The sequence below is a fragment of the Homo sapiens genome, chromosome 11 (genome assembly GCF_000001405.40).
Source record: "Homo sapiens chromosome 11, GRCh38.p14 Primary Assembly".
NCBI lineage: Eukaryota > Metazoa > Chordata > Mammalia > Primates > Hominidae > Homo > Homo sapiens.
Window position 1 is genome coordinate 97,389,456 of NC_000011.10, and position 10,471 is coordinate 97,399,926.

At 36.9% G+C, this 10,471-nt stretch overlaps 1 long non-coding RNA gene across 1 annotated transcript; it reads right to left on the minus strand.

Annotated features, from left to right (window-relative positions):
* Positions 1-1,836: 1,836 nt before the first annotated feature.
* Positions 1,837-10,270, minus strand: LOC105369451 (uncharacterized). Its single transcript, XR_947940.3, has 3 exons — positions 10,138-10,270; positions 2,994-3,072; positions 1,837-1,901 (listed from the first exon to the last, which is right to left on the minus strand). It is a non-coding gene; the product is annotated as an uncharacterized LOC105369451 (long non-coding RNA).
* Between the last annotated feature and the right edge of the window lie 201 nt (positions 10,271-10,471).

A 10,471-nucleotide genomic window follows, 5' to 3' on the forward strand; every position in this document is an offset into this window, starting at 1 on the left:
TGGCAAAACAGCTTGCTCCTACAAACTAGAACAGCTGTAGATCTTTATCTGGCTTGTGGCATCATTTAAAACTCGCAACCCTACTATTTAATCAATCAAAGCAGCACATACATAGGAATTATATGTTCCCTCTATAATCTAGAATCTTACTAAAAATGTGCCCATGTCTTAGTAGTAGGTAGTGTAATATTTTAAGTACCTCTTATTTTATTTTATTGTGGTTTTATATGTATACACACTAAAAATTACCATTTTAACCATTTTTAGTGTACAAGTCTATAGCATCAGTTATACTCACAATATTTTGCAACCATCACAACTATCTCTTATTAAATATTTTTCAACACCCCAAACAAACTCTGTACTAACTAATTAAACAATAACTCCCCACTCTTCTTCCCCTAGCTGCTGATAAACTCTAATCTACTCTTTGTGTGAATTGGTCTATTCTAGATATTTCACAAAAGTATTATCATACAATATTTATTCTTTTGTGTCTGCCTTATTTTATGCAGCATGTTTTCAAGATGGATCCATGTTATAGTGTGCATCAGAATTTCATTTATTTTTATGATTGAATATTATTCCATTGTGTGTATATAACTCATTTTGTTTATCCATTCATCTGTTGATGGACACAAGTTGCTTCCACCTTTGGGCCGTTATGAGTAATGCTGCAGTGAACACCAGCACACAGGTAAATGTTTGAATCTCTGCTTTCTATTATTTTGATTATATACATAGGCTAGGAGTTGAATTGCTGGGTCATATTTATAGCATATTATCTTTCCTAGGGAATGTTCCATGTGCACTGAGGAGAAAGCATATTCTGCTGTTGTTGACTAGAGTGTTTTATGTCTGTTAGGCTTACTTGATTTATAGTATTGTTTAAGTCCTCTATCTCCTTACTAATTTTCTGTCCAGATGATCTGTCCATTATGGAAAGTATTGAAGTCTCTGTTATCATAGAGCTGACTTTTCTCTCTTCAATTCTGTCAGTGTTTGCATCATGCATTTTGTGGCTATGTTTGGTGTATGTATGACCATAATTGTTACAGCTTCTTGATTTGATCCCTTTATCAATATGAAATGTCCTTTGTCTCTTATGACACTTCTTGACTTAAAATCTCTGTTTGTGGTACCAGTATAGCCACTCTACCTCTCTTGGTTACTATTTGCATGGGTTATCTTTTTCTGTACTTTTGCTTTTAACCAATATTTGTCTTTTGATCTAAGGTGAGTCTCCTACGGTATACAACTGGATGATGTTCTCTGTTCTAAGCTTTGCCTTTTGATTGAAGAGTTTAATCCACTGTCATTTCAAGTGATTACTAATGAAGAAAGAATTACTTCTGCCATTTTGCTATTTGTTTTATCTATATTTTATATCTTTTTGGCCATTTTCCCCATTACTGCTTTCCTTTGTATTTAGTGTATTGTTTTGTAATGACCCATTTTGGTTCCCTTCTCATTTTCTTATATGTACATTTTTATTACAATGTAGGTTGGTATCAAATTTGATTCCATAGCCTATAAAACTTGATCCAGTAAAGCCACATCTTCCCTTTTATATTGTTTTTGTCACAAATTACCTCTTTTTATATTGTTTGCTCAATAAACTTAGAATTATAATTTTATGCATTTTTGTTTAAATCTGTGTAGGAAATTAAAAAGTAGAGCTACAAATAAAAAATAGAAAACACTGGATTTTATATTTTCCCATGTAGTTATCTTTACTGAAGATATTATTTCTTTATACAGCTTTGGGTTGCTATCTAGTGTCCTTTCATTTTCAACAATGTAATATGTTGTTGATAATGTATATATCCATATGTATCCATGTCCTAGAGTGATAATCACAGGGTATCAGCTCAGTGAGTTTTTTAATATAATCAGTTGAGCTAAAAAAAAAAAAAAGAGAGAGAGAAAAGAACTTTACTAACTTTACTTATCCATCATGTTTATAAGCCCCCATGCTGACTGATCACAATTTTGATCTATGAGAATTTGCAATGCATTTCTTTCTCTTGATGTACAATAATCCAACTAGTAGCTACAGATCATTGTTTAAAAACCTAGGAGGGGCTGGGCGCGGTGGCTCAAGCCTGTAATCCCAGCACTTTGGGAGGCCAAGGCGGGCGGATCACGAGATCAGGAGATTGAGATCATCCTGGCTCACACGGTGAAACCCCGTCTCTACTAAAAATACAAAAAAAAAAATTAGCCGGGGGTGGTGGCGGGCGCCTGTAGTCCCAGCTACTTAGGAGGCTGAGGCAGGAGAAGGGCGTGAACCTGGGAGGCGGAGCTTGCAGTGAGCCGAGATTGCGCCACCGCACTCCAGCCTGGGCAAAAGAGCGAGACTCCGTCTAAAAAAAAAAAGCAAAACACCTAGGAGAATATTTATGGTAAGTATTTATTAAAGTCTTTTAAAGATCTCCCTTTAGGGATACAAGTATCCTTTTTATTAAGGAGCTTTAAATCTACTCACTGTTTTAGTTCTAGAAATTGGATTGATACTATGCTCTATTTTGGGGTGGATGAATTATCTTTTCTAAGAGGTAGAGAAATTATTTTTTTAAGCTCAATCACAGATCAAGTAAGTATTTAGATGACTATTTATTTCAGCAATAGGAACACTATGGCTTATTTAGCCTCACCAAACACTACGCACAGGTCACATAAATTTGGTTATACCTCCAGATCTACTATCCAATGTAATTACCATCTGTACCATGTCTCTGATGTTTAACAGCTATGATTTAACTGTTGCCACTCTGGATCACCATTTTTATAAATTAAATTCAGGATTTTGCCAAAGTTTCTACTCTGATTGCTGAACTGCAGCAGACAGCCACTACAAAGCATTTTAATGATGCTAGAGATCTCAATAGTAAGTATTACAATATCTGGATGAAGAAAATGTCCTCTACATATTTCTCCCAGCAATGATGTATGACAAAATGCACAGAGTATTGTCAATTAAAAATACTCACCTGAGCATTGGTTGCCAGTAGTGTGGACATTGTTGATCGCCACAAAGCTGACTTCTCTTCATCCCTTCCAGATGTTAAACTGATAAAAAAAAATTAAAAACTTTAATTTAATTTGGTACATAGTAGTTGTATACATTTATAGGGTACACAAGATGTTTTGACACAGGCATGCAATGCATAATATTCAGCTCATAGAGAATGGGGTATTCATCCCCTTAAGTATTCATTCTCTGTGTTACAAACAATTCTATTATATTCTTAGTTATTTTACAATGTACAATTAAATTATTATTGACTATAGCCACCCTGTTGTGCTATCAAATACTAGCTCTTATTCATTCTATTTTTTTTTGTACCCATTGACCATCCATCCACACGCCCACCTCAATGCTCCCACTATACTTCCCAGACCTGGTAACCATTGTTCAACTCTCTTATCTCTACGAGTTCAATTGTTTTGATTTTTAGATCCCCAACATAAGTGAGAAGATGAGATGTTTGTCTTTCTATGCCTGGTTTATTTCACTTAAAAAAATGACCTCCACCTCTATTCATGTTGTTGCAAATGAAAGGATCTCGTTCTTTTTTATGGCTGAATAGTAATCCATTGTGCATAAGTAACAAGTTTTCCTTATCCATTCATCTATGATGGACATTTAGGTTGCTTCCAAATCTTGGCTATTGTGAACAAAGCTGCAACAAACATGAGAATGCAGCCATCTCCTTGACATACTGATTTTCTTTTCTTTGGGTACATATCCAGCAGTGGGATTGCTGGATTATATGATAGCTCTACTTTTAGTATTTTGAGGAACCTCCACACTGTTCTCCATAGTGGTTGTACCAATTTACATTCTCATCAACAGAGTAAGGTGGTTTCCTTTTCTCCACAGCCTTGCCAGCATTTGTTATTGCCTGTCTTTTGGATATAAGCCATTTTAAATGGAGTGAGATATTTCATTATAGCTTTGATTTGCATTTCAGTGATGTTGAGCATCTATTCATATATCTGTTTGCCATTTGTATGTTTTCTTTTGAGAAATGTCTATTCAAATATTTAGCCCATTTTTTGATCAGATTACTAGATTTTTTTCCTATAGAGTTCTTTGAGATCCTTATATATTTTGGTTATTATATATTCCTTGTCAGATGGGTAGTTTCCAAATATTTTCTTCCATTTTGTGGGTTGTCTCTTGGCTTTCTTCATAGTTTGCTTCACTGTGCAAAAGCTTTTTAATTTGATGGGATCATATTTGTCCATTTTGGTTAGGTTGCCTGAGCTTGTGAGGCATTACTCAAGAAATTATTGCCCAGACCATTATCTTGGAGATCTTCCCCAATGTTTCCTTGTAGTAGTTTCACAGTTTGAGGTCTCAGATTTAAGACTTTTAATCTATTTTATTTTGATTTTTGTATATGGTGAGATGTAGGGGCCTACTTTCTTTCTTTTTACATATGAATATACAGTTTTCCCAGCACCATTTATTGAAGAGACTGACTTTTCCCCACTGTATGTTCTTGGTACCTTTGTCAAAAATGAGTTCACTGTAGGTGTATGGATTTATTTCTGGATTTTCTATTCTGTTCCATTGGTCTATGTGTCTTTTTTTAATGCCAGTACCATGCCATTTGGATTACTATAGCTCTGTAGCATAATTTGAAGTGAGGTAATGTGATTCCTCCAGTTTTGTTCTTTTTGCTTAGGATAGCTTTGGCTATTCTGGGTCTTTTTTGGCTCCATATAAATTATAGTGTTTTTTTTTTCTATTTCTGTGAAGATTGTTGTTGGTATTTTGTCAGGGATTGCACTGAATCTCTAGATGGCCTCAGGTAGTATGAATATTTGAAGAATATAGATTCTTCTAATGCATGAACATGTATATTTGACCTTTTTTGGTATCCTCTTCAACTTCTTTTGTCAAGGTTTTATAGTTTCCATCATAGAGATTTTTCTCTTCTTTGGTTAATTCCTAGGTAGTTATTTTATGTGTCATTATTGTATGTGGCATAACTTTTTAAAAATTTTTTACACTGTTTGCTGTTGGCATATAGAAATGCTACTGATTTTTTAATGTTGATTTTGTATCTTGCAACTTTACTAAATTCTACCAGTTTTCCTGGGAAATCTATAGGTTTTTCCAAATATAAGATCATATCATCTGCAAACGAGGATAATTTGATTTCTTCTTTTCCAATGTGGATGCCTTTTATATATTTTTCTCTTGTCTGAATGCTCTAGCTATGACTTCTAGTACTATGCTGAATAACAGTAGTGACAGTGAGCATCCTTATCTTGTTCCAGATCTTAGAGGAAAGGCTTTCATTTTCTTCCCATTCATTATGATACTAGTTATGTGTCTGTAATATATAGTTTTGATTATGTTGAAGTATGTTTGTTCCATATCCAGCTTTTTTAGGGTTTTTGATCATGAAGAGAAGTTGGATTTCATCAAATGCTTTTCCAGCATCAATTGAAACAATAAGGTTTTTGTCCTATATTATTTTAATATGATGTATTACATTGATTAATTTGCATATGTTAAAGCAACTTTCCATTCCAGAAATAAACCCCACTTGGTCATGATGAATGTTATTTGTTTTTTATTTTATTTTTTTCTTTTTCAGACAGAGTGTCACTCTGTCACCCAGGCTGGAGTGCAGTGGCGTGATCTTGGCTCGCTGCAACTTCCAGCTCCTGAGTTCAAGTGATTCTCCTGCCTCAGCCTCCTGAGTAGCTGGGGTTACAGGCCTGTGCCACCACGCCCAGCTAATTTTTGTATTTTTACTAGAGATGGGGTTTCACCATGTTGGTCAGGCTGGTATCAAACTCCTGACTTTGTGATCCGCCCACCTTGGCTTCCCAAAGTGCTGGGATTACAGGCGTGAGCCACAGTGGCTGGCCGATAGATGTTATTTTTAATGTATTGTGAAATTCAGTTTGCTAGTATTTTGTTGAGGATTTTTTTTGTCAATATTCATCATAGATATTGGCATGTAGTTTCCTTTTTTGATTTGCGTTTAGTTTTGGTATCAGGGTAACACTGGCCTTTAGGAATGAGTTTGGAGGTATTTCCTCCTTCTCTATTTTTTAGAATACTTTGACTAGGTTTGGTATTAGTTCTTCTTTAAATATTTGGTAGAATTCATCAGTGAAGCCATAGGGTTCCAGGCTTTTCTTTACTGGGAGACTTTTAAGGCTTCAGTCCCATTACTTGTTATTAGTTTCTTCAGGTTTTGGATTTCTTCCTGGTTCAATCTTAATAGGTTGTATGTGTCTAGGAATTTGTCCATTTCGTCCAGGATTCCGGTTTATTGTAATATAGTTGCTCATATTAGCCACTAATGACCCTTTGAAATTCTGACGTATCAGTTGTAATGTCTCCTTTTTCACCTCTGATTTTATTTATTTGGATCCTCTCTCCCTCTCTTTTTAGTCTAACTAATTAAAGGCTTGTTAGTTTTGTTTCACTTTTCAAAAAAACAACTTTTTGTTATGTTGATCTTTTGTATCTTCTTCATTTTATTTCTGCGCTGATCATTATTATTTCTTTTCTTCTACTAATACTGGGTTTATGTTGTTCTTGATTTTCTGGTTATTTAAGATGTACCATTAAGTTGTTTATTTGAAGTTTTTTTTTGATGTAGGCACTTATGGCAATAAAATTCCCTCTTAGTACCGCTTTTGCTGGATTCTATAGGTTTTGGTATGTTGTGTTTTCACTATCATTTATTTGAAAAATGTTTTGATTTTCTTAATTCTTTACTCAGGAGCATATAGTTTAATGTGCATGTATTTGTATAGTTCCCCAAATTCCTCATTATTGATTTCTAGTTTTATTCCACTGTAGCAGGAGATGCTTGATATTATTTCAATTTATTTTGAATATTTTAAGACTTGTTTTGTGACCTAACATGTGGTCTATCCTTGAGAATGATCTACGTGCTGAGGAAAAGAATGTGTATTCTCAGCTTTTGGATGAAATGTTTTGTAAATATTAGATCCATTTGATGTATAGTGCAGATTAAGCTTGATGTTTTATTGTGGATTTTCTGGATTGTCACCCCAGTGGTGATAGTGGGGTGAAGTCTCCATCTATTATTGTATTGAGGCCTATCTCTCTCTTTAGCTCTAATAATATTTGCTTTATACATCTGGATGCTCCAGTGATGGGTGCATATATATGTAAAATTGTTATATTCTCCTATGAAATTGACCCCTTTATCATTATATAGTGACCTTCTTTGTTTTTTCTTATAGTTTTTGACTTGAAACCTATTTTTTCTAATACAAGTATGGTGACTCCTGCTCCTTTTTGGTTTCCATTGGCATACAATATGTTTTTCCATCCCTCTATTTTCAGTCTACATGTATCTTCATAGCTGAAGTGTGTTTCTTGTAGGACACAGATAAATTAGTTTTCTTTCCATTCATTCAGCCACTCTATGTTTTTTGATTGGAAAGTTTAGTCGATTTACATTCAATGTTATTATTGATAAATAAAGATTTACTCCTCCCATTTTGTTATTTGTTTTCTGGTTGATTTGTATTCTTCTCTTCTTTCCTTTTTCCTTCCTGTTTTCCTTTAGTAAGGTGATTTTCTCAGGTGATATGATTTAGTTTCTTGCTTTTTATTTTTTGTGAATCTGTTGTATGGTTTTTTTGGTTTGAGGTTAGCAGGAGGCTTGCAAATACTGTCTTATAAACCATTATTTTAAACTGATAACAAGTTAACGTTGTTCAAATAAACAAAAAGAAAACTAATCTTCATTAGTTCTCTATGCCTTAACTTCATCCTCCTGCTTTGTAACATTTTGTTGTTTTTGTTTCTATTTTATTGTACTATGTCTTGAAAAGTTGTAGTTATTTTTGACTGGTTCTCCATCTAGTTTTTCTACCTAGGTAGGATAAGAGTAGTTTACACACCACGGTTAGAGTGTAATAATATTCAGTGTTTTTCTGTTTCTTTACTATTACTAGTGAATTTGGTATCTTTAGGTGATTACTTATGGCTCACTAAACTCCTTTTCTTTCTGATTGAAATACTGCCTTTATCACTTCTTGCAGGAGAGGAATGGTGTTAAATTCATCGAATAGAATTCTGCATTTCTTCTGTGTTATCTTGAATTCCTTTGATTTTCCTCAAAATACCTATTTTGAATTCTCCGTCAGAAAGGTCACATGTTGCTGTTTCTCCAAGATTGGTCCCTGGTGCCTTATTTAGTTCATTTGGTAAGAACATATTTTCCTGGATTGTCTTGATACTTGTAAGTTTGTCTAGGTTTGGCCACTGAAAACTTGGGCATTTATTATAATCTTTGCAGTCTGGCCTTGTTTGTACTCATCCTTCTTGGGAAAGATTTCCTGACATTTAAAAGGACTTGGGTGTTGTGATGTAAGTTGTTATCTCCATTCAGAAGCACCCCAATCCCAGTAACACTGAGGTTCTTGCACATTCGTAGAGGTACCACCTTTATAGTCTTGGACAAGATCCAGAATTCTCTGCATTAACAGACAGAGGCTCTTGTTCTCTTCTCTTACTTTCTCCCAAACAAACAGAATTTCTCTTTCTGAGTCACCTGAAGCTGGGGGTAGAGTAAAACAAACACCCCTGTGACCACCACCACTATGACCGTGCTGTGGCCAACCTGAAGCCAGCACAGTACTGGGTCTCACCCAGAGCCTGCATTACCACTCCTAGCTGCTGTCTATGTTCACTGAAGGCCCAGGGGCTCTATAATCATCAGCTGGCCATGCCAGCCAGGCCTGTGTCTTTCCCTGCATGTGGCAATTTCCCCAGGACTTGGGTGGGTCTACAGGTGCCATCTGGAAGCCAGAACCTAGAGTTAAAAACGTTAGAATTCTACCTGGTGTTCTATTGTCCTGTGGCTGAGCTGGCATTCAAACCACAATACTCAATCCTTGTGACTCTTCCCTCCTCCTTTTCAAAGGCAGCCTTACCTCAAGGCTGCCACCACCACAGGCCCACTGGGAATACTGCCAAACTATTGCCAATGTTCTATTAAGAACTAAGGTCTTTTAAGTCAGCTTGTGGCGAATGCTGCTTGGCCTGTGACTCACCCATCAGGGAAACGGGCTCCTCTCAGGCACAGAGCAGGTCCAGAAATGCCTCCAAGAGCTAAGTGCTGTAATCGGGGGCTCCAAGAGTTTGCTTGGTGTTCTACCCCCAGTGGCCAAGCTGGTACCTACAGTGCAAGACAAAGTCCCCTTTACTTTTCTCTCTGCTTTTCTCAAGAAGCAGCGGTCTTGACACTACAGCTGGAGATGTGCTGAGTCTCACCTGAAGCCTACAAGTCTCAGGGTTTCACCCACTGCCCTTGACATAGTACCTGACGATGGCTGCTGGTTATTCATGGCTCAAAGTTTCTTCAATTAGCAGCTGATGAATGCTGCCAGGAAGGGGTCCTTCCCTTCAGGATAGTGAGTTCCCTCTGGGCGCAGGATGCATCTAAATATGTCATCCAGGAGCTAAGGCCTGGAAAGGAGGCCTTATGACGCTGACCCATACCCTATGCCACTGTGGCTCAGCTCGTATCCAAGATGCAGGACAAATTCTCCCCACTCTTTCCTCTTTTCTCTTCAAGCAGAAGGAAGGAGTCTCTTTTGGAGCTGTGAGCTGTGCAGCCTGTGATTAGGAGAGGGGTAATGCCAGCACTCTCTTAGTTGTGTGGGCTGGTGTCTCAGTAGGTCATGTTCCCCGCTAGTCCCCTGTCTCTGGGTCAAGTTCAGCACTAGGACTCTTCTAGGAGTTGCAGTCCTTGTGGCCTAGATTGCTTTTCAAGTTTATTTAGAGCCCCAGGAGCTCTTTGGACCATGATGGCGAGGCTTGCAGGAACTCACGTTCCAACCCCTGGGATTGGCGATTCTCCTTTTGGTTCAAATGCTCCTTCCGTAGGTGGGTGTCAGCCAGGATTGATCCGGTTTTCCTTTTCTGCTATAACAGGACAGCAGTGAGTTCAATGCCTCACAATTACTCTGCTCTCCTTTCCCCCGTGCACAGAAATGCTGTCAGTACCAGAATACCTCTGCTTGGGGATAGGGGAGGCATGGCACCAGCAATTCAACACTGTTTTTTCTGCCTCTTTCTGCAATACAAAGTTAAAACCAGGTACTACAAGTGCTCACCTGATTTTTGTTTCTCACAAAGGTGCTTTTTTGTGCCATTGGTGTCCTTGTCAGGGGGACAAGCAGTAGAGTCTTCTTCTATTCTTCCATCTTGCTCCATCTCCCCTCTTGCACTCTCAAGCTGATACACTCTTATCTGGAAGGACAAGGCAAAATCTCTAGGCAAGGCGAATACTTCACTAGAACAAACAAGTCACAGTGCTAATCAAGGACAATAATACAATCCAGAATGTGTGTAATATTTATAGTTTCTAATATTTAATCAAATTATCAAATCATGTAAGAAACAACATTGCATTTAGCAGAAAAAGCTTTAAAGCAACTATTATTTATA